Raw genomic sequence first — 25,173 nt, 5'->3', positions numbered from 1 at the left:
GCTCCAGTAATGTAAATGCCTGAAATCAGAATGGGAAAGCTGGAGGTGAAATTGGAAGTTTGGAAAGGCTCATGCAGAAACATGTATGAATTCTGTAAGTACCTAAACAGCAGAATTCGACTTGAGTGAGATGGGTTCTTGGCAAGAACATGCACTCATGATTTCATGAGTAAGAAGCTGAAGACACTCAAGTCCAACTGCTTTTCTTCAGGAAATCTTAAACCATTCATGTATTTCTCATTTCCATCCTGTCACCAGTCCATCTAGCCAACCATATTTACTGCTTGTCCATCTAGCCAACCATATTTATTGCTTATTACTCTGTTTATGACAACCTCTACTCAGATTTGAAATATTGGGTAAAAATTAAAATAAGTAGAAGTGGTATTACCTATGAATCAATAAATTGACTTTATTAAACTTTATGGGAATTACTGATTTAACTGCCATTAATTAGAGGCATAGTAGTAACTATCTGCACTGTAAATCTGTAATTTATGCTTAATAACAAGGGGAGGTAGAGCGGTAGTAAAATTGTCCAATCAAGTGTTTTTCAGAAACTATGGAATCTCTTGAACACTTTTGCTATTTTATGGTATGGGGAAAGCAATGATAGCTATGTTACTCTGCTACCTGGGTTGATTTTTGAGCTATTCTTTGCAGAAGAAGCTTTCCAGAGGCACATCCAATCTCTGTAGCTATGTATATGGCCATGGGGATGAAAGAGACCATTAAATAGGACCTCTTGTCCCTACTTTATATTTGAAACCACTAAGAAATAAGACAAAGCATAAGATAGATGGAGGCCAATGATCACTTCATTATCAATAATGCTAACCTATGAAGTTAACATCAGCAGAAAGATGTACCCACTGAGTCATGTGCAATTCTAAGCCAGAGCAGGCCCTCTATGTAAGACAGACTTACATGGAACTGGGAAACTTGATTTGCATGTGCTGTCTTGTTCCCAAGAGGTAAAGGAAGAGCTGATAAAGAAAGCATGGCTGTTCAGATAATGCACTCTAGCCCACCGAAGTGGAATAAGGAAAGATGTGGAAAGAGGCCAAGGCTATGGCACTAACTTAACTCCCTTCATAAAGAAGAAAACAAATGAATGGCAAAGAAGTGCTTACCCTGAATGGTGAAAATTAACAGCAAATACTTGTTTTTTAGGCATGGGACTTGAAATATCTTTTCCACAATTCTCTTCCACTGAATTATTTTCTTTACTCCATAAATCTTGTCACATGAAATATATGCTTTGCTGTTGCCCAGGCTGGAGCGCAAGTGGAGCAATCATGGTTTACTGTAGCCTCTAACTCCTGGGCTTAAGCGATCCTGCCCCTTCAGCCTCCCTTCTGAGTAGCTGGGATTACAGGTGTGTGCCACCGCACCAGGCTATTTTATTTATTTGAGACGGAGTCTCACTCTGTCACCCAGGCTGGAGTGCAGTGGCGCGATCTCGGCTCACTGCAAGCTCCGCCTCCTGGGTTCACGCCATTCTCCTGCCTCAGCCTCCCGAGTAGCTGGGACCACAGGCACCTGCCACCACGCCCGGCTAATTTTTTGTATTTTTAGTAGAGATGGAGTTTCACCATATTAGCCAGGATGGTCTCGATCTCCTGACCTCAGGATCCGCCCACCTCAGCCTCCCAAAGTGCTGGGATTACAGGCATGAGCCACCGTGCCCGGCCGCTATTTTTATTTTTATTTTTTTTTTGTAGAGATTGGGGGCTCTCACTATGTTGCTCAAAGGCTGATTTTTGAGGTAGGTTCAAGCAATCCTCATGCCCCCCAGAGTGCTGAATTACAGGTATAAGACACCCCCACCTAGCTGAAATTATTCTTAGTGAAATCACATTGACTCCTTAAATGCCAAATCTAGTATTTTCTTCTCAGTACTCATCCCACCTGTCTGCTTTGTGGCACTGAATAGCTTCCCTTCTAGGAACTCTCTTCATTGGCTTCCATGCCGCATTTCACTCCTAGTTTTTCTTCTGCTTCCTCAGGTGCTGCTTTTTCAATATCATTTCCTGAGGACTCAGAACAGGAATTCTTTCCTCATGTGTCTTTGAAGTCCTGTGTCTTGCATGGTGCCTAATACCTGATAGATGTAATTGCTTCGAAAGTCATTTCTCTGTCCTGTATCATGTTGGCCAAGGTCTATTTTGTGTTTTCTTCCTTTTTTTTTTTTTTTTTTTTCAGAATTCACCTTCCCATATGCTAAGGGAAAGGGACTTTTTTTTTCCACTTCCAGGGTTGGGTAATGATTTAAGCCAGTCATTGCGTTTTCCTTTTCACTAATTGACTTAAGCATGAAGAAAGCTTCTAGGGTATTTCTCGGTTGGATTTTCCAAACTAATAAGAAGAGGAAGTATATTAGTTTTCTAGGCCTGTTGTAATAAAGTACCACAAACTGGGTGGCTTAAGCAACAAAAATTTATTACAGTTATGGGGACCAGAGGTCCATAATCAATGTGTCGGTAGGGTTGGCTACTTCTGAGGGCTGTAAAGGAAGGAGCTCTTCCAAGTTTCTCTTAGCTTTTCGATGGCAATCTTAATGTTCACATGGTGTTTTCTCTATATGCCTGTTTCTGTGTCCAACAATCTCCTTTTTTATGATGACACCAGTAATATTGTATTAGGGTCCATTCTAATGACTTCATTTTAACTTGATTACTTTTTTAACGACCCTATGTTCAAATAAGGTCATATTTTGAGCTACTCTTGGTTAAGAATTTAAAATATAAATTTCAAGGGAACACAATTCATATGCTAATAATGAGAAAACAACTTTCTCTTTCAATATTACTGATGCCTGGAGCTATAGCAGCCACATTGTAACCATGAGGAGACAATGTGGTTACCAAGCCACTATACAGAAAGTGGTAGAATGGCAAGAGAACGTGATTTTTGTTTACATCTTTGATCATCATATTCTTTTAGAAAAACAAACTGGTCTTCAGTGCATATTCTGTTTGGACTAGAGCAAGCTGACACTGAGGGCAGACAGACCAGTTAGGTGAATATTCTAATAGTTCTATTCAAACAACTTGAACTCAACTGCTGAAAAGAAGCAACATAGGCAAGAGGCATCAATGAATAAATTTTCTTATAGGAAGAAAGATGGTATCTAGGGCTGTGCTTGGGACATATTCTTAGTGCTGTCTGTTCCAGGACTGTCAGTGCTGGTGGCTGCTTGGATTGCAGGCAGTTTAAGAAAGCATTTGAAAAGAAAGAGCCAGCTGTTCTTATAAACATTTTATGAATACGAAGGACTTACAAGTTGGACTTTTGCTTCTTCCCAGTGGTATGATTCTAGATATAACCAGATAGTCTAAAAATAGCAATTCAATAGCTGCTTTAAATCAGTTTGGGCAATTCCCGAAACTGTGATTCACAGAATGTTAATTCTGTGAGTTGTTAATAGATATGATGAAAATCAAAGAAAGGAAAGAGATGTTCTACACCCAAATGATTCAGAAATTTGGATTAATGTCCATATTACAGGACTTCTCAGAGCCTTTAGTATTCTAGTGTAAAGTGTGAATCTTTAAGATAGGAATTTAGTAAGCAATATTTATAAAACATAAAATTTATGATGCATCAATTGAAACTTTTTTTCACAGAGCATGTCACAAGATTGGTCTGAGGAACACACTTGGGACATGCTGCTTTAAACAATGATTTTACTCTAGGTTTCATTTCTTTTTCTTCTGGGACATCATACCCTGGCTATTCAGCCTTAGTGTAAAGGGCTCATTGCAGATGAGATTGCCAATTCCCTGGTGACCTGTGAGCCTTTATGCAGTCATATTGACATTCCCATTTAAAACACTGAGGCTGGAAGAGATGAGACATACTACTGTGTGAATAGAGCTGTTCCCAAGAGACAGGAGGGAGGAAAGGAAATCTATGAGCTTGCTTCATCTCAGGTAACGTGCCAAATATTCAGCTAGACCTGTTGGGCACTGAGAGCCATGCTTACAGCTGAATCCACCAAATAAAAGGCATTTGCTACTGGCACCTCAGAGGAAAGAATTTTCAGGTGAGAAAATGCAACCGCTTATTCCCTAGGGGGAGAGATTTTGTAGATTAATTTCCCCAGACGTGTTGTTCATTATTGCAAGTCCTCAGGCAGTGGTGAAATCTGAGTTCTGCAGTAAGATTATATTTTGCCCCTCCAAGGGGCCTCCCATTCTTGCACAACAAGTGATGTGGTTTAAAAGTTTAGAACACACATGTTTCTGGGTTCAAATCCTGGCTCTGGCACTTTGTGGACTGTGACCTTAGGAAGATATCTTCAGATCTTTGAGCCTCGATTTCTCATCTATGAAAAGAGAGTGCTAATAATATCTTCCTTAGCAAACTCTTGTGAGTCTTATGCAAACTCAGTAATAGGCATAAAATAAATAAATGCTTAATCAACTTGTAACTAATTACAAGAAATAAAATAAATGTTGAATAAATTACAAAATCTTTTTGAAACATGTTACATTTTTAGGAAAAGGTATTTCCAGGCTGAAGAGATGGCATATGCAAATCTCTAGAGTTGGGGAAATTGCAAAGAGTGAATATAGCTGGGCTTTTGGGTTCAAAGTCAATTGCAGCCAGATATGGAAAGCAGTATGTGATGGCTAATTGTTTGTGTCACCTTGAGCAGGCCATGGGGTGCCTAGATTGAACATTGTTTCTGGACGTGTCTGTGACGATGTTTCTGCATGAGACTGACCTTTGAATCAGTGGATTCAATAAAGTAGATTGCCCTCTCCAGGACAGGTAGACATCCTCCACTCTTTTCAGGGCTTCAGTAGAACAAAAGGTAGAGAAAAGAGACCCTTTTTTCTGGCCTGCCTGCTTGAGTAAGGACATCTTCTCAACTTCTCTTGCCTTCAGACTGGAGTTTACACCATTGGCTCTCCTGGTTTGGACCTTTAAACCCAGATAGAATTACGTCACCAGCTTCCCTCAGTCTATAGCTTGCAGATGGCAGATGGCAGATCATGGGACTTCTCAGGCTCCATAATTGCATGAGCCAATTCCTCATAACAAATATGTCTTTCTCTTTCTCTGGAGGATTTATTGAAGAGGGACATGTTTAATTTCTTGCATGTTAGAATGGCAACTTTGGCAATAGGGTCTGAGTCTAAGTACCGCAATTTGAGATATGGTCTTCATTTTCATGTAGCTTGCAGTGTAATTTAAAGATAACTTGGCTGATCCTACAGGTATTTACTACTAATGTATTATGGCTGACACAATAATAAATGATCGGTTGGCATGTGCATGGTAATGACAGTGAGTTCAAGCAGTAGCCATATGCTGGTGAATTCAGCCTCAGGCTTAGAAAATTGAATATCTACTAATGTGTATTTTTAAATAAAATAATAGACCTTTAATTTGTACAGCTCAGAAAACTTGTAGGATGAAGAACTCTTCCTTTTAGCCTAGTAGGAATGGCCTCTAGTTGACTTTAGAGGAACTACAAATCATAGCTGAAGTTCCTTAATTCCTGGTAGTCAAACAAGCATATTTTAACCTATGGGCTCCTTACATGTGAAAATCCTATTGGTGGAAAATAAACTTCTGAATACAGACACTGCACACCAGATTTTTTTATCTTGCCATTCTGTGCACTTTCATAATCTTGGCCCACTCTTCAAATAACATTTTCCTCTTATTTCTCTGTAAAAACACTGCTCTTGTTCCCCTAAGGGCAATCGGTGCATTGCTGTCTCTGAAACTTGGCTCAGGATATTTCCCATCTGAGGGACTCTTCTAACTGTTCTCAATCTGCCTGGGTTGTGTTTTCCTCAAGGCTTGGATTCCATTTCCTACATGACAATGGCATTGAATGCTTCAAGCTTTCATCGTCTTAGCATTCTCCATAATTCTTTTGGATGCATGGTCTGTATCGTTCATTGGGAATTTAAGCTGCAACACAAAAAAAAAATGTCTCTCTTTATGTACATATTCTCGTTATAGCTTCAGCAGGCTGTATCTGGAAGTGTGTTAACACCTACCTGAACTGGGACAATGGGGAAGGAGAGATTACTGGGAATGGGTAGAACTTTTGGTGGGAATAGGGTTATGGAACCTGGCCTTCCTGCATGACTGGTCTTTAAGGCAGGTGCTACCCAACCCAATATGCTCAAGAGAATAATGACAGAGAGAAAAATTGTTAAGGGTTAAGTTTGCCCCTGGGCATATGGAAATTTCATTTATCTCTCTGAATCTTAGTTCTCTTATCTGTAAAATGAGGTCAAACAATATTAAAAATAAACACAAAACTCCACATCTCACAGGGCTATTGTGGAAATTAAATCGATGAACTTACATAAAGCACTTAACACAGTGACTCATGCATAATAAGCATCCAATATATGATGGGTATTATTATTATAGTCCATAAATGAGAGGCTACAATAAAGTGCTCCTGAAACTTAGAAGTGAATTACCCTCTGCGAGGAAAACTAGGAAAAATCAACACATAAAAAAACGAGATTAATCATCTGTGGAATTAAACTCTTCTAAAATGCCCGAGTCAACACTAGCTCTCAAATAGGGTAGGCTTAAGCCGGAAGAAGGAGTTCATAACTATAGTTGATCTCTGCTGGTGATGGTTGATTAGATTTGAATCTGTTTAATTCAATGAACATCCATTCCCAGTCCATTCTGTACAGAACACTGGGTTATTTAGAAGATGGGTGGGATGATACATTTGCCTTCCAAGAACTTTCAATCTGAAAGCCCAATAAAGCTTGCACACAAAACCCTCGATAATTAAAGCCAGAAGCGATCAAGGTGCTGCATGATCATGCAGAAAGCAAAAAGTAATTCTGCTAAGAGGATTGTCCTGGAGAAATGGACACCCTGAAGGAAATGGCATTGAGATAGGCACTTATAAATAGTGGTGGGCATTTTAACAGACAAATGATGGGGTGCAGATGATATTACAGACACCAGTAATTGTGTGGACACTGGGGGAAAGTTCTAAACGGAATGTTAGGACAAACTGGAGATCAACGAACCGGGGGATGGAGAAAGAGGACTCAACAAGGCAACTTTGATTTTGAACATCTTGGTATCTCCAATGACTGATACAGTAGGCTGCATGCAATAGGTGCTCAGTAAAACCTCATAATTGATTTTGTTGCCTTTCATGCTTGGGAGACATCACCCATGACCCGGAACAATAGTGCATTTGATCACCCATGACCCGGAACAATAGTGCATTGGATCACTTGATGTTAAATGTACCAGGAATTCTCAAATAACTTGCTGATGCATGTCCCGTTGTGACTTACAATGGGGCAATGCTTGATGTGACTTACAATGGGGCAATGCAGAAATGAAAATGGCAGTGAGGAAGTAGAGCAGCCCACGGGGCTACTTGAAAAAAGCCCATTTGTTTTAGGTTTCTCAATGTACCACTTCATCAATCTTATTTCACAGTCTGTCTAATTTAAGTCCATGAGATAAATAGTCTTTTGCCTCTTTTGTTGTTATGGTATAATAAAAATACATCATATTTGGTCTTTGTTCTTGGTTCCTGGCTCTGCACTCCTAAAATCCTTGGAATCTCCTGAGTGATAAAATCTAATTGCTAATTAGAGGGTTGGAACTTTCAGTCCTAACCCTGACCTTTGCTGCTGGGGAGGTTGTATTCCTGGAGAGGGCATAAAAACTGTCTCCTGCACCCCGTACCTTACCCTATGCATCTCTTCCATTTGACTCTCCTGGGGTTATATCCTTTATAATAAACCAATAAACATTAGTAAAGTGTTTTCTGAGGAGTAGCTCTGGTGAATTGTTGAAATGGAGGTGAGGGTAGAGGGAACCTCCAATTTATAGCCTGTTGGTCAGAGGTACAGGTAGCTCCTGGGATTTGCAGCTGGGGGCAGCGTTGTGATTCTGAGCCCTTGCCTTGTGAGGTCTGCACTAAATTCAAATAGTTTATGTCAGAATTAAATTGAATTGTTGGACAACTATTTGGTGTCCGAAGTGGTGTCAGGAAAAAGAAAAAGCAGCAGTTGAGAAAATGAAGACTCAGGTTAGTAATTTATCTGGGTCATGCAGCTTACATATGGGAAGTTGAGACTAGAGTCCAGGACTATAAGATTCCAGAGCCCTTAACCATGTGAGAACGCTACTAGGAAGAGGTTCGCCCCTCTGTTCTGTGAGACCTATTGGGAATCAAGATAGAATAAGAAATGGAGAGAAATTGCTCTCACTGCAAAAATTAGCAGAGAATAATGATTGAGTTTGAGCTCTAGACTTCAACCGCATGGGTCCTGTAATGAGCTTTCCTACCAAACTTGGTGAAAGTTGCTGGATGGAGCTTTGTTTCTCAGTTTCTTATGCATAAAATAGAGAAAAGAATAAAACCTATTTTATGGGATTTCTGTGAGACTTATGTGAGTTAATATCTGAGTAGCACAAAAAAATAGTGTTGACACATAATAACAACTATTATATTGGTTATAAATATTATAATAGGTTAACATATTAGTGTTACTGGATAACACCTACAAATGATTGGCTTATGACAACATGATATAACCTGAAGAAGGAGATTTTTTTGTTGTGTTTTCAGTTACTAAGGGGTAATGTCAAAGTAAGAAGACCAATTTCATACATTATATATGGAAATCAGTGCTGTTATGTTAAAGTCAGCATGGAGCAACTGTGTGGTTGAAAGTAAGATCTGGGAGGTTGAAATAGCTAATCATCACTAAACAAGAGTGGGAAACCTAATTTCCTTAGAGAAAGGGCCAGTGCATTTCCCCAGACAGGGCAGATGATCTTGGCCCCTAGAAGAACCCAACATTCCCCATGAGATGTTAGAAACGGTGGTTGGGGGGAGTTCCTTACTGTTTGGCTTCTAATTCATGTGATGATCCATAGTATTGCACCTGACATGGGCTTGGCAAATGGATGTATGGATACCTCAGCAGAAGAGAAAGGCAAGGAGGTCAGAACCAGAGAGAACAAGAGTCCCAGGAACCCACCAGATAGAAGGGAAGTAGCTGATAGCTCACATACCAGTATTGAAAGTGACAAAGAAAACTGCAGTGTCCAAGGAGACAGGAGTGTGTGTGGGAAAGTAGAGGCCAATCTAGGGGTGGTGGCAGAGAGGAGTGGCCAGGGGCTAAACGGAGTGCTATCCAGCCTCAAAGTATAGGGTTTATAATAACTAGTAAGGGTTCAAGCAGGCTGCATTTCAGGATGGGACTCCACTAGATCAAGCATAAAAAGCAGGAACTAAGCCAGGCATGGTGGCTCACACCTGTAATCCCAGCACTTTGGGAGGCTGATCATGAAGTCAGGAGTTCGAGACCAGCCTGGCCAAGTTGGTGAAACCCCGTCTCTAGTAAAAATGCAAAAATTAGCCAGGCGCAGTGGCGGGCGCCTGTAATCTCAGCTCCTTAGGAGGCTGAGGCAGGAGAATCGCTTGAACCCGGGAGGCACAGGTTGAAGTGAGCTGAGATTGCGCCGCTGCTGTCTAGCCTGGGTGACAGAGCAAGACTCCATCTCAAAAAAAAAACAACAAAAAACAGAATCAGGAACTAGAAGACAACAACCCAGTTATTGAGGCTGGATCACCTGCACATCAGGAAAGAGCTGTGGCATTGGGCACGCAGTGCAGAGGGCACTCCTGACACTTTGGATACCAGATAGATGGCAGCGTAGTAAATCCCACTTCCACCTGCTGGTGCTTCTAAGGCACTTTTTACCCCGTCAGTGTAGACATAGAGCCTTAAGCATGAGCACCAGGCCTGAAGGACTCTAGTCGTTAATGGCTAAGGAAGGCAGAAATGAAAGCCCACACAGTTTCAAAATATTATATCTTTGAAAACAAACTTTAATACACCTTTAATTTTTGTGGGAAGAGCTAATTTCAGTCCAGTATATTTTTTTTTTTTAAATACCCAAATCTCCTCCAATTCTTTAATTTAAATTGCATGTTCTCCTTACATTACAAAGTTTAATGTAAAACTTTTTAAAGTAAGAGAGGAGCCCATACAAAGTTCAAACGAAGTTCATATAAGTTTTAACCCTCTACTGCTATGCTGTGAAATCGCCACAGGTGAGATCTGAGATCGTCCCAAGTTCAAAAAAGGAGCTACAGAGATCAGTCCTGTCCATATTCCCACCTCCTAGAAAAATAGAAAGTAGTGACTGGTTGATGCAGGCTTTCTTTTTTTCTTTCTTGATTTTGTTTTAGAATTGATTGAATTCAGGTTGGTCTTAGCCAAATCTAAGCTGTGCTTTCTTTTTTCAAAAGCTCTAACAGAATTCCAGAACACAAGGAGAGTTTTGGGGACAGTGGGGTTCTTTGAGAAGTTGGTTGGTGGATGGGTTCGCTCACTCATTCTTTCTCTCATTCATTCATTATTCTTATTTCATATTCTTAAGGCAACTATGAAGTAGATATTACTATATTTATCTCATTCTCACCACTAAGGAAATGAAGCCTCAAATGTTTTGCTTACTCTAAATGAGAACTTATATTTAGCAAAGGGGTTTGAGATTTGGGTGGATTATTATAAAGTTTATACTTTTAACCACTACACCATGGGGCCTGAGAACCTCCTACGAGCTTGACACTGATCTAGGTACTGGGATACAAAAGTACTTGCTGCTCAAGCCTTACAGTCTAGGTTTGTAGATAGATAATTATGGTAAGTGCGTGGTAAGTGCTGTGACAGACATTAGGTAGAGAGAAAGTCTTTCTAATTCACTTAGGGTCGGGGGCAGTGTTCACTGAGAATACCTTCCTTCTCAGGGAGGAAGAGGGGTCTGTAAGCTCTACTCAGGGTGGTGCAAGGGCACCATGCGGTGCAATAGTTCACTAAAATGTGTTCCTCCAGTCTAACTGAAACTGTGTACCCTTTCACTATCATCTCCCCTTTCCCCATCTTCCGTTCTCCTGCTAGCCTCTGGTAACCACTTTTCTTTTCTTTTCTTTTCTTTCTTTTTTTTGAGACAAGAGTCTCGCTCTGTGGCCCAGGCTGGTGTGCAGTGGCACGATCTCGGCTCACTGCAAGCTCCGTCTCCTGGGCTCATGCCATTCTCCTGCCTCGTAACCACTTTTCTACTTTCCATTTCTATGAGACTGCCTTTTTTTTTTTTTTTTTTTATTATACTCTAAGTTTTAGGGTACATGTGCACATTGTGCAGGTTAGTTACATATGTATACATGTGCCATGCTGGTGCGCTGCACCCACTAATGTGTCATCTAGCATTAGGTATATCTCCCAATGCTATCCCTCCCCCCTCCCCCGACCCCACCACAGTCCCCAGAGTGTGATATTCCCCTTCCTGTGTCCATGTGATCTCATTGTTCAATTCCCACCTATGAGTGAGAATATGCGGTGTTTGGTTTTTTGTTCTTGTGATAGTTTACTGAGAATGATGGTTTCCAATTTCATCCATGTCCCTACAAAGGATATGAACTCATCATTTTTTATGGCTGCATAGTATTCCATGGTGTATATGTGCCACATTTTCTTAATCCAGTCTATCATTGTTGGACATTTGGGTTGGTTCCAAGTCTTTGCTATTGTGAATAGTGCCGCAATAAACATACGTGTGCATGTGTCTTTATAGCAGCATGATTTATAGTCCTTTGGGTATATACCCAGTAATGGGATGGCTGGGTCAAATGGTATTTCTAGTTCTAGATCCCTGAGGAATCGCCACACTGACTTCCACAATGGTTGAACTAGTTTACAGTCCCACCAACAGTGTAAAAGTGTTCCTATTTCTCCACATCCTCTCCAGCACCTGTTGTTTCCTGACTTTTTAATGATTGCCATTCTAACTGGTGTGAGATGATATCTCATAGTGGTTTTGATTTGCATTTCTCTGATGGCCAGTGATGATGAGCATTTCTTCATGTGTTTTTTGGCTGCATAAATGTCTTCTTTTGAGAAGTGTCTGTTCATGTCCTTCGCCCACTTTTTGATGGGGTTGTTTGTTTTTTTCTTGTAAATTTGTTTGAGTTCATTGTAGATTCTGGATATTAGCCCTTTGTCAGATGAGTAGGTTGCGAAAATTTTCTCCCATGTTGTAGGTTGCCTGTTCACTCTGATGGTAGTTTCTTTTGCTGTGCAGAAGCTCTTTAGTTTAATTAGATCCCATTTGTCAATTTTGGCTTTTGTTGCCATTGCTTTTGGTGTTTTGTACATGAAGTCCTTGCCCACGCCTATGTCCTGAATGGTAATGCCTAGGTTTTCTTCTAGGGTTTTTATGGTTTTAGGTCTAACGTTTAAATCTTTAATCCATCTTGAATTGATTTTTGTATAAGGTGTAAGGAAGGGATCCAGTTTCAGCTTTCTACATATGGCTAGCCAGTTTTCCCAGCACCATTTATTAAATAGGGAATCCTTTCCCCATTGCTTGTTTTTCTCAGGTTTGTCAAAGATCAGATAGTTGTAGATATGCGGCATTATTTCTGAGGGCTCTGTTCTGTTCCATTGATCTATATCTCTGTTTTGGTACCAGTACCATGCTGTTTTGGTTACTGTAGCCTTGTAGTATAGTTCGAAGTCAGGTAGTGTGATGCCTCCAGCTTTGTTCTTTTGGCTTAGGATTGACTTGGCAATGCGTGCTCTTTTTTGGTTCCATATGAACTTTAAAGTAGTTTTTTCCAATTCTGTGAAGAAAGTCATTGGTAGCTTGATGAGGATGGCATTGAATCTATAAATTACCTTGGACAGTATGGCCATTTTCACGATATTGATTCTTCCTACCCATGAGCATGGAATGTTCTTCCATTTGTTTGTGTCCTCTTTTATTTCCTTGAGCAGTGGTTTGTAGTTCTCCTTGAAGAGGTCCTTCACATCCCTTGTAAGTTGGATTCCTAGGTATTTTATTCTCTTTGAAGCAATTGTGAATGGGAGTTCACCCATGATTTGGCTCTCTGTTTGTCTGTTGTTGGTGTATAAGAATGCTTGTGATTTTTGTACATTGATTTTGTATCCTGAGACTTTGCTGAAGTTGCTTATCAGCTTAAGGAGATTTTGGGCTGAGACAATGGGGTTTTCTAGATAAACAATCATGTCATCTGCAAACAGGGACAATTTGACTTCCTCTTTTCCTAATTGAATACCCTTTATTTCCTTCTCCTGCCTGATTGCCCTGGCCAGAACTTCCAACACTATGTTGAATAGGAGCGGTGAGAGAGGGCATCCCTGTCTTGTGCCAGTTTTCAAAGGGAATGCTTGCAGTTTTTGCCCATTCAGTATGATACTGGCTGTGGGTTTGTCATAGATAGCTCTTATTATTTTGAAATACGTCCCATCAATACCTAATTTATTGAGAGTTTTTAGCATGAAGGGTTGTTGAATTTTGTCAAAGGCTTTTTCTGCATCTATTGAGATAATCATGTGGTTTTTGTCTTTGGCTCTGTTTATATGCTGGATTACATTTATTGATTTGCGTATATTGAACCAGCCTTGCATCCCAGGGATGAAGCCCACTTGATCATGGTGGATAAGCTTTTTGATGTGCTGCTGGATTCGGTTTGCCAGTATTTTATTGAGGATTTTTGCATCAATGTTCATCAAGGATATTGGTCTAAAATTCTCTTTTTTGGTTGTGTCTCTGCCCGGCTTTGGTATCAGAATGATGCTGGCCTCATAAAATGAGTTAGGGAGGATTCCCTCTTTTTCTATTGATTGGAATAGTTTCAGAAGGAATGGTAGCAGTTCCTCCTTGTACCTCTGGTAGAATTCGGCTGTGAATCCATCTGGTCCTGGACTCTTTTTGTTTGGTAAACTATTGATTATTGCCACAATTTCAGAGCCTGTTATTGGTCTATTCAGAGATTCAACTTCTTCCTGGTTTAGTCTTGGGAGAGTGTATGTGTCGAGGAATGTATCCATTTCTTCTAGATTTTCTAGTTTATTTGCGTAGAGGTGTTTGTAGTATTCTCTGATGGTAGTTTGTATTTCTGTGGGATCGGTGGTGATATCCCCTTTATCATTTTTTATTGTGTCTATTTGATTCTTCTCTCTTTTTTTCTTTATTAGTCTTGCTAGCGGTCTATCAATTTTGTTGATCCTTTCAAAAAACCAGCTCCTGGATTCATTGATTTTTTGAAGGGTTTTTTGTGTCTCTATTTCCTTCAGTTCTGCTCTGATTTTAGTTATTTCTTGCCTTCTGCTAGCTTTTGAATGTGTTTGCTCTTGCTTTTCTAGTTCTTTTAATTGTGATGTTAGGGTGTCAATTTTGGATCTTTCCTGCTTTCTCTTGTGGGCATTTAGTGCTATAAATTTCCCTCTACACACTGCTTTGAATGCGTCCCAGAGATTCTGGTATGTGGTGTCTTTGTTCTCGTTGGTTTCAAAGAACATCTTTATTTCTGCCTTCATTTTGTTATGTACCCAGTAGTCATTCAGGAGCAGGTTGTTCAGTTTCCATGTAGTTGAGCGGCTTTGAGTGAGATTCTTAATCCTGAGTTCTAGTTTGATTGCACTGTGGTCTGAGAGATAGTTTGTTATAATTTCTGTTCTTTTACATTTGCTGAGGAGAGCTTTACTTCCAAGTATGTGGTCAATTTTGGAATAGGTGTGGTGTGGTGCTGAAAAAAATGTATATTCTGTTGATTTGGGGTGGAGAGTTCTGTAGATGTCTATTAGGTCTGCTTGGTGCAGAGCTGAGTTCAATTCCTGGGTATCCTTGTTGACTTTCTGTCTCGTTGATCTGTCTAATGTTGACAGTGGGGTGTTAAAGTCTCCCATTATTAATGTGTGGGAGTCTAAGTCTCTTTGTAGGTCACTGAGGACTTGCTTTATGAATCTGGGTGCTCCTGTATTGGGTGCATAAATATTTAGGATAGTTAGCTCCTCTTGTTGAATTGATCCCTTTACCATTATGTAATGGCCTTCTTTGTCTCTTTTGATCTTTGTTGGTTTAAAGTCTGTTTTATCAGAGACTAGGATTGCAACCCCTGCCTTTTTTTGTTTTCCATTGGCTTGGTAGATCTTCCTCCATCCTTTTATTTTGAGCCTATGTGTGTCTCTGCACGTGAGATGGGTTTCCTGAATACAGCACACTGATGGGTCTTGACTCTTTATCCAACTTGCCAGTCTGTGTCTTTTAATTGCAGAATTTAGTCCATTTATATTTAAAGTTAATATTGTTATGTGTGAATTTGATCCTGTCATTATGATGTTAGCTGGTGATTTTGCTCATTAGTTGATGCAGTTTCTTCCTAGTCTCGATGGTCTTTACATTTTGGCATGATTTTGCAGCGGCTGGTACCGGTTGTTCCTTTCCATGTTTAGTGCTTCCTTCAGGAGGTCTTTTAGGGCAGGCCTGGTGGTGACCAAATCTCTCAGCATTTGCTTGTCTATAAAGTATTTTATTTCTCCTTCACTTATGAAGCTTAGTTTGGCTGGATATGAAATTCTGGGTTGAAAATTCTTTTCTTTAAGAATGTTGAATATTGGCCCCCACTCTCTTCTGGCTTGTAGGGTTTCTGCCGAGAGATCCGCTGTTAGTCTGATGGGCTTTCCTTTGAGGGTAACCTGACCTTTCTCTCTGGCTGCCCTTAACATTTTTTCCTTCATTTCAACTTTGGTGAATCTGACAATTATGTGTCTTGGAGTTGCTCTTCTCGAGGAGTATCTTTGTGGCGTTCTCTGTATTTCCTGAATCTGAACGTTGGCCTGCCTTGCTAGATTGGGGAAGTTCTCCTGGATAATATCCTGCAGAGTGTTTTCCAACTTGGTTCCATTCTCCACATCACTTTCAGGTACACCAATCAGACGTAGATTTGGTCTTTTCACATAGTCCCATATTTCTTGGAGGCTTTGCTCATTTCTTTTTATTCTTTTTTCTCTAAACTTCCCTTCTCGCTTCATTTCATTCATTTCATCTTCCATTGCTGATACCCTTTCTTCCAGTTGATCGCATCGGCTCCTGAGGCTTCTGCATTCTTCACGTAGTTCTCGAGCCTTGGTTTTCAGCTCCATCAGCTCCTTTAAGCACTTCTCTGTATTGGTTATTCTAGTTATACATTCTTCTAAATTTTTTTCAAAGTTTTCAACTTCTTTGCCTTTGGTTTGAATGTCCTCCCGTAGCTCAGAGTAATTTGATCGTCTGAAGCCTTCTTCTCTCAGCTCGTCAAAATCATTCTCCATCCAGCTTTGTTCTGTTGCTGGTGAGGAACTGCGTTCCTTTGGAGGAGGAGAGGCGCTCTGCGTTTTAGAGTTTCCAGTTTTTCTGTTCTGTTTTTTCCCCATCTTTGTGGTTTTATCTACTTTTGGTCTTTGATGATGGTGATGTACAGATGGGTTTTTGGTGTAGATGTCCTTTCTGGTTGTTAGTTTTCCTTCTAACAGACAGGACCCTCAGCTGCAGGTCTGTTGGAATACCCTGCCGTGTGAGGTGTCAGTGTGCCCCTGCTGGGGGGTGCCTCCCAGTTAGGCTGCTCGGGGGTCAGGGGTCAGGGACCCACTTGAGGAGGCAGTCTGCCCGTTCTCAGATCTCCAGCTGCGTGCTGGGAGAACCACTGCTCTCTTCAAAGCTGTCAGACAGGGACACTTAAGTCTGCAGAGGTTACTGCTGTCTTTTTGTTTGTCTGTGCCCTGCCCCCAGAGGTGGAGCCTACAGAAGCAGGCAGGCCTCCTTGAGCTGTGGTGGGCTCCACCCAGTTGGAGCTTCCTGGCTGCTTTGTTTACCTAAGCAAGCCTGGGCAATGGCGGGCGCCCCTCCCCCAGCCTCGTTGCCGCCTTGCAGTTTGATCTCAGACTGCTGTGCTAGCAATCAGCGAGATTCTGTGGGCGTAGGACCCTCTGAGCCAGGTGTGGGATATAGTCTCGTGGTGCGCCGTTTCTTAAGCGGGTCTGAAAAGCGCAATATTCGGGTGGGAGTGACCCGATTTTCCAGGTGCGTCCGTCACCCCTTTCTTTGACTCGGAAAGGGAACTCCCTGACCCCTTGCGCTTCCCAGGTGAGGCAATGCCTCGCCCTGCTTCGGCTCGCGCACGGTGCGCACACACACTGGCCTGCGCCCACTGTCTGGCACTCCCTAGTGAGATGAACCCGGTACCTCAGATGGAAATGCAGAAATCACCCGTCTTCTGCGTCGCTCACGCTAGTAGCTGTAGACCGGAGCTCTTCCTATTCGGCCATCTTGGCTCCTCCAGCCTCGGTCCAGTATATTTATAAGAAAGTTTCATGTGAATCGAACAAATAGGTTTTCTTTCTGTACACAAAACCAGGGTGGGGAAGAGAAAGAATGAATTAAACTTGAGATCAGTCCAATAATTCGGTTATTTGGAAAACAGCAAGAATTTATTTGGGGCTAAGGTTCCATTATATATTGTCAAAATAATCATTCTTCTTAGATCTAAGCATTTCCTCTCTGTGCAAGTCCCTACCATCAGGTCTATGTGGAAAGCACTTCTTGACAGCAAAGAGATTCTGGCATGGGCTTACAAGCAGACATTTAACAATTAAACATTTGAAGAATTTCCTATCCTGGAGGGCTTGAAGATTACGATAGTTTCTCTCCAGAGATGTTTTGAAATGCTACCTCTGAAAACAGGAAGATGAACTAATTTCCTTGCAGAACTACAAATGGTCAATCATCATCACGCACATACTGATCAGTTACAATGTGTAAGGCACCCCAGCTAGTAGGTACAGGGCTAAATGAGGGGGTAATTCCTACTTTAAACAAACTTCCAAGCCAGTTGAGCCAATAAAAGATGCCCTGAGAAAAAATGGAAATGGTATAAGGCAATAAATTGTACATTCGTCTATCAGCTGGGGACCATTCAGGAAAATAAAACCTAGTCTTTTTTTTCTTTTTTTTTCAGACGGAGTGCCTCCCTGGTTCACACGGTTCTCCTGCCTCAGCCTTCCAAGTAGCTGGGATTACAGGCACCTGCTACCACGCCTGGCTATTTTTTGTATTTTTAGTAGAGACAGGGTTTCACCATGTTGGTCAGGCTGGTCTCAAACTCTTGACCTCAAGTGATCTGCCCACCTCAGCTTCCCAAAGTGCTGGGATTATAGGCATGAGCCACCATGCCTGGCCCTCACTAGTTCTTTTAGAATTCAGAATTTAATATAAACAGTTAGGGAGACAGGTATTGAATGACTGAAAAGGCAAAAGTGGTCATCGAGATGACAGAGGTACTAACTTCAGAAAGCAAATACCAACCTCTCAGGCTGGAGAAGCACAAGGAAGACGAAAGGGCTATTAAAGCATAGGAGCTTGGGGCCAGAGGCTTTCTGGGTTGGACACAGAGCTCTGAAGAGGGAGGGTGCCCAGCTAGTATAGGTGCTCCAGAATTCAGAGTAGGACTTGCAAGGAGCTGAGACCCGGGTCTCTGAGAGGAAGACACAAAGAAGCTAATCCTGGCAGTGTGCAGATGGGTATGAATGTTGGAGGAGAGGGGACAATGAAAATGGAATCAGTTGCTTCTGCAAGAGTAAGGAACCATTGCTGGAGTCAAGTTGCTAGGACAGGAAGCTAATCAGCAGAGAGTCCCTTCCACCTCCTGATTTCCTAGTCTCCTCTAGGGCTCCGATGGGCAGAAAGCAACAAAAAATACCTGGCAAATCAGAAATGTGGGTTGCAAAGTTCCAGCCCTAGCATTCCAACACAGAGTGAAAGAAGGTCAGTTAAGAGACAATAGCTCAATAACCAAAAGAATACCTTAGAAGAGGCACAAGGAGACACTGCATAGGGGATTTTAGGTATGATGAAACTACTCTGGGCTCAATGGTCAGGGAAGCCTCTGTGGACAGTAAGTGATCTGAACATTTTGTTATAGCTCAGGCAGATTCCACTGCGGGTCATTCATTCGTTCTATAAATAATTTAAATGCCTGTTAGGTGACAAGTGGCCTGTTAAACACTGGAAATATAAGGATGAACATGACAGATGAGGTACATGTCTTCATATAACTTATATTAGAGGAAAGAGGAAAATAAAAAACAGCAACAACCAAAACTTCAGATATTAATAAGTTCACGAAGGAAGGAAATAAGTCAGGGTAATGTGATCAAGAGATACAGGAAGGGATTGGGGCCACTTCAGGTTAGGCCATCGGGGAAGGTGGTCTTAAAGAAGGTGACATTTGAGTGGAGACTTGAATGTGAGGCAAATTAAAGATGCAAATAACTGGGGTAGGGAAGCAATCTGAGCAGCAGAAACTGCAGGTGCAAGGCCATGAGGCATCAATGTGCTTGCTGTGTCCTAGGAGCAGAAAGAAGAGCAGGGATTTGTGAAAGAGTGGCCAGGCATGAGGTGGGAGAAACAGCAAGGCACAGGCCTTGTGGGGCTGATAGAACCACTGTAGACCCTAATAATGATTTAAAAAGATCATCTTGCTGCTATGTGGACATTGGACAGTAGTGAGACACATAGGTACAGGGTAACCAACAGTCTGGGCAAGAGATTTTGGTGTTCTGGTTTCAGGTGGTAGCAATAGAGATGGTGATAAGTGACCATCTTTGCAAGATACATTTGAGGTATTACCAAAAGAATTTGCTTTTGGATTAGATTCTGATATGGTTTGGCTGTGTCTCCACCCAAATCTCATCTTGAATTGTAGCTCCTGTAATTCCCATGTGTGGTGGGAGGGACCAGGTAGGAGGTAATTGAGTCATGGGGATGAGTCTTTCCTGTGTTGTTCTCGTGATAGTGAATAAGTCTCACAAGATTTGATGGTTTTATAAAAGGGAGTTCCTCTGCACAGGCTCTTTAGCCTGCTGCCATGTAAAACATGTCTTGCTTCCCCTTCACCTTCCACCACTACTGTGAGGCCTCCCCAGCCATATGGAACTGTGAGTCAATTAAACCTGTTTCCTTTGTGAACTACCCAGTCTTCCTTAGCAGCATGAGAACAGACTAAAACAGATTCCAAGGGTGAAGAAAAAAGGAATGTGGGGGTCCGCACCATTGGATAGGTAACACTGTTACTTACATGTTTGGAAAAGTCTTAAGCAGGTTTCGGGCTGTTGGAAGAGGCATGCGGTTTGAGATATCTTTTTGGTACTCAGTAAGAAACATAGAATAGGTTGTTAGATTTATGAGTGGCATTCATTCATGGGAGGTCTAGGGCTCTGGAGACATACTCACTGGAAGACTATTGGGAAAGGATCAGCCAAGAAATAGCTAGTAAGAGATGAACGGAATAGAATTAGCTCTTGGATTAGCTATCATCAGTCTGAATTAGAGGCAGAAGGAACTCAGCATCTGTTGAGGCCAACATGGATATGCAAGAGCTTTAGTCAGTGGAGATGGGTATTTATGGCTCCCCTTATCAGATAAAAGTAGTACTGTGGTTGTAGGTGATTAATGCTTTTTGGGTCAGTGGGGCTGAAAGCAATGATAAAAGAAGCAATAATGAGGGAAGAGGGCATTCCCAGTGGGAAATACAGCCTGTGCAAACCATATAGTAGGAATTTAAAAAGTGTATTCTGTGGAACAGAGAGTAAACAAGTTAGAGAAGCCAAGGAGAAATAGGGCAAGTCCCGCATAATCTCTTAGTATGGGAAAGGTTTTTAGAATGTATTTATTCCAACCTCATATTTAGACATGGGGAAACTGAGACCTTGAGGCATTAAACACCTTCGCCAAACACACACCATTACTTAGTATCCAAATCATGACTGTAATTCTTTTCTCCTTATGCTCATCCTCCTATTATATCATGAATATTGTATAGCTCATGCTGAGAAGTTACAGTTTTAACTATAGCAATGAGAAAATACACAAGGCTTTTGAACAGAAAAATTAGGAATAGTGTAAGGCGTGCTTTGTGCAAAATTACCTCTGATGGTCATGAAGAGGAGGAGACCCAGGCAGGCCAGGTTGGCAGTGTTGGTAGTGGTCAGGAGACATGAGAAAAATCCTCCATATGCTCAGCCATTCTCCTCATCAACCTGGCCTATAGCTAAGAGTGAAATCCAGCTACAGGGAAACAGGGATCCTAGGCTAAAATGTAAAATCTAGCTCATTGCCATCCTTGTCATGATGCTGTTTTAAGTCACGTTCATTTCTTCCTTGTCACTATTATATGAGAAAGTGTGAGCAGGTGTGGTGAGCTTGGGGAGGAGGTGTGAACTGACAAATTCTTAGGAAGCCACCTTTTTGGCAGGAGATGCCTGTTAAAACTTAGGGCTGTACCTATTCAGTAACTTAGGAGAAGGACTCAACTGAAAAATAAAGTATAATACAGACACATGCACATATAGCTACCTGGACTCTAACCCTTAGTTGGATTATAAATTAGCTAGCTCATAAATGGTGGTTTCTACTTCAGGTGGAAACTGGGATATTTTGAGACTGTAAATGGACATTATTAATAATTTCGCCAGGCTGATGAGTACAAATGGGGACTGTCCCAGACAACCAGGAAATATGGTCATCCTATTTCTGTTTTTCCTTTTCTTCTCCAAATACCTACTTTTCTTGCCAAACAGGAAAACTAGAACACAAACTCAAAAACAAGAACTCAAAAAAAATGTTAACTAAACTTTCAAAGTTCTGCCTCTTCACTCATTTTTAGGTAATTATGAGGAAGTGTTTTTTAGTGGAAGATTTGAGACTTTGGAGTCTTACAGACCTGTATGCGAATCTTAACTTTGCCAGCAGCTTGTGTGACTCTAGGCAAGCTGTTTAACCATCCTCAGGTTTCACTTTTGGTCTTTGTGTAATAAAAATGATAACACCTGCTTCTCAAGTTTGTGGTGAGGATAAAGGGCATGATGCACAAAGATCTTGCACTTTAAAAAAATGTGAACTCCTTCTACTAAAAGCACTAAAGCAAATAAAGCTGCCAGAGCACTGGAAGACATTCATTTTCTGTCCTTCCATCCATCCATGCATCCACCCCCCCACCCACCCACCCATCTATCCATCCATTCCTCCCACCCACCCATCTGTCCATCCATTCCTCCATCCATCCATCCATTTATCCATCCATCTTCACCTATGAAGCCTCATAGTAAGGGGTAAAGCCATCCAGGTGACTAAATCACATTTTAGTGTGGACCTCAGTATCACCATTTTTCCCCAAAACATTTTTAAAAGGGTGAAATCCGACACTGTTCTAAATATCAAAGGCAATGGCAGCCTTTGGATTGGCTTTGACATTGCCCAATAGGATAATTACAATGTAGTTATATTATATTGTACTTATGCACAAACATAATGAAGACTTTATAATTAAATCCGTCATTGACTATAGTAAACGTATTCCACCTGACTTCTGCAATTCGTTTTCCTTTAGTCCCTTGCGAGGGAGCAGGGGTGGCGGCGGGAACCTACCGTATGCGCTCTCCAATGAACACCAATTCCTTCTAACTTCCCTTTTCTTCCTTCTTCTTGCTCCTTTGTTTTCATATTGTTTAATATGCTTATGCCATGTAGATAATTTTGTAGGTGATTTTTTAAAATTTCTAATTTATTTCGTTTTACAACGAATGCATAGGCACATTTGTTTTTGTAGTATGCAGATATTGAAACAGAGATCAGAGAGGTTAAATAACTTGCTCAAGGCTTCTCAGGTGGTGAGTGACAAGTGAACACCTTAGCCCAGGAATTCAGAGTCTGTTAGTTTGAGACATATTTATTCTTAGGTTGTTTTTATCCTGTATAATCTTGAAAAACATTACTTCTCTGAAGTGTCACCTCCTTTCATAAATTACCTGCCCTCTCTCTGGGTTCTGCAGCTTGAGCCTAATTCTTTGGGAACGTGACAACACCCTCCACAGAACAAATAAGACCTTTAGACATCCAAAGTGTCAAAATATTGTGTGTCTAGAAATCTGCTAAGTGTAACTGAAAGTATCTAAACACAAAACTTGCGTGAATGTTAAAGTTAAAATAGACTATTTCTGAATTTTCTGTTACTATCAGGTTCTGGATAAGATCACTGAAGCTGAAGTTGTCTAATCTATCTTGCTTTTACCATTAATTTATTTGTGTCGTGCCCTCTTTGCTGGTCCTCTAAGTACACACTTGTTGAGTTACTGGAAATGCAGCATTGCCATTCTCTCTGGGCCTCATGAAATAACAGAGTTGGACTAGATCTGTTCCAATTGCCTTCCAAGCTCTTACTTTCTTTGGCTTTGCTGCGACTCTCCTCAGCCTTTGCGCAACATAGCTGTGAAGTTGGCTTTGGTATGATGCTATAGGAGGACAAGATTTAAGCTTCGCCAAGGGTTCCAGGATCTGGAATTCCCAGCACAAAGGATACAAAACCTTCTTTCTGTCCTGAAGACCTTTACAATCAACTGACTCCTAGAGGTTTAGTGTCAGGTCACCCTTTGGTCACCAGTACGGCCTTTCAGATGTAGTAATCCAACATGCTCAGGGCTTCGCTTTTCATGTGCAAGAAGCTTTTGGTCACAGAAGAGTGAGTGTCTGCAGCAGAACCATTCTGGGATTTCTGGGTCTACTTACCAACACTTGCCCAAGCTCCTGTATGGCAGCTCCTGTAGCACATAATCCTTTTATTTATTTATTTACATTGAGTTGTATGTTGAGGAAAAATGAGACACACAGACAATACAACATATCTAAGAGAAAACTATAAATAAATGTCGCTTTAATCACAGAGGGTTAACTGTATGATCTTTAGCAGCTGGGAAATTGCCCAAGTGGTGGCCACCCCTCCACATCCACCTTGTTCCTACAAGAGACTACAGACTGCCCTGCTCCCCACTCACCCAGGGTCCCTCTGCTGCTGCCTCTCGTGCCTAGTTTTGAGGACAAAATAGGATAAGATTCCAGATTTAGATGTATTTCTTTCTCTCTTGGTTAGAGAAGGCCTCTGCAGCACAGTGCAGATGGGTCACCCCTCTATGGAGTGATGGTCTTTCTTCTGCTCTGTGCTAGTTTGGCTCTTGCCCCTCCTGTGAAGGTTTGGGTCCTGACCTGCTGGGCCTTTAAGATGGAGATTGTGAGACATTATTTTTCTTCTAACCTAATCCCAACCCTAGGAGTATAGAGTCAATCCAGCCTACCTCACCCCTTTTAAGGATGAAGGTGGAGGTAGGTATTAGATTGGATGTGGGCGTCAGCCTGCAGTCAGCTCACCTGGCCTCTCCCTGACTCAGCCTCTCTGGCTGACATATTTCAAGTGTTCAATGAAAGGAAAAGAGCTATATCCTCATCTCAGTTGGCTAAAAAGGAGACATCCAGGTCTCTGTGTCCAAAGGGCCCAGGGGCTGTGCTGTTTTGCCTCACTGTTTATTCATTCTATCCATTATTCCTCCTTTTCTGCAAACATTTATTGAGCAATTGCTATGTGTCAGGTAAGTTTGGTGCCAAGACTGCAAAACTGTATCAGCCATAAAAAGTAATTAAAATAATTCCACTAATTGCAATCCAGTACGATAAGTCCTCTAAGAGAAGTTTATACAAAATATCTGAACACTGAGTGAGGGGAAAGAGGGTAAATTTTTTTCTTTTCTGGTGAAGTAAGAGGGTTCCTAAAATAAGTAACCTTTGAGCTGCATCTTTTATGGTGGTTAAGAACATAGGCTTTGGATGGATAAATTATTTTGCTGCTGCTGCTAACCTATATGCCCTTGTGCCAGTAACCTAAGCTCTCCAAGACCCACACTCCTCATCAGAAAAGTAGGAAATAGAATACTTACTTCATAGGATTGTGGTGAACATGCAAGAGCTATATAAAGCACTTAGCAAGGTGCCTGACACAAGGTGACCTTAGCTGTTACTAATTTTAATGGCTGTATATTATGATTATCACCAAGGGACAGATGAGCAGGAAAGAAGAGGAAAACATTCTAGAAGACAGCACAGCCTGTGCAAAGGCATGGGGGCACCTCTTTCCTTCATGTTACGCTTAGACATGCAGAGCTACGACATACAACATCTGACCCTGGCCTGGAGGAGGTGGAGGGTGAGAGGGAGGGTACTTGGATATTTACAGAGGAGATGTGTTGCACAGGCTCTTCGAAACCCTGTTTTCCGAGTCCTGACATTGACTGCCTGACTATGCACCCTTCTCCTCCCTTCATCAGCCTTCACCCAGTGGATCATCCCATTTTCTTCCACAGACTAATCCCTTCTCCAGCCCCAGTAGACAACAAATGGATCATCTGATTGATATCTCAGTATTAGGAAATCATTATCAGGCCCCAGAAAATGATTTTCTGTTACAGAACTGGG

The 25,173-nt window shown here is 41.4% G+C and overlaps 1 long non-coding RNA gene across 1 annotated transcript in view, besides 2 other annotated features; it reads left to right on the top strand.

Moving 5' to 3' along the window:
- Nucleotides 1-25,173, top strand: part of LOC102724465 (uncharacterized) — a 379,687-nt gene that overhangs the window by 176,805 nt on the left and 177,709 nt on the right. The gene's annotated exons all lie outside the window — the stretch shown is intronic.
- Nucleotides 926-1,126: a silencer, noted in NCBI's record as "peak2412 fragment used in MPRA reporter construct". NCBI's record gives its function as "represses an SCP1 promoter by STARR-seq MPRAs in K562 erythroleukemia cells {active_cell/tissue: K562}" and the evidence as "EXISTENCE:reporter gene assay evidence [ECO:0000049][PMID:32103011]".
- Nucleotides 16,918-17,470: an enhancer, noted in NCBI's record as "H3K27ac-H3K4me1 hESC enhancer chr15:88052812-88053364 (GRCh37/hg19 assembly coordinates)". NCBI's record gives its function as "activates a minimal SCP1, AML or CMV promoter by ChIP-STARR-seq in primed H9 embryonic stem cells {active_cell/tissue: H9 hESC(primed)}" and the evidence as "EXISTENCE:reporter gene assay evidence [ECO:0000049][PMID:30033119]".

The sequence above is a fragment of the Homo sapiens genome, chromosome 15 (genome assembly GCF_000001405.40).
Source record: "Homo sapiens chromosome 15, GRCh38.p14 Primary Assembly".
In the NCBI taxonomy this organism is placed as follows: domain Eukaryota; kingdom Metazoa; phylum Chordata; class Mammalia; order Primates; family Hominidae; genus Homo; species Homo sapiens.
Note: the sequence above shows the minus strand (reverse complement) of the source record. Positions and strands in the feature narration are given on the sequence as shown.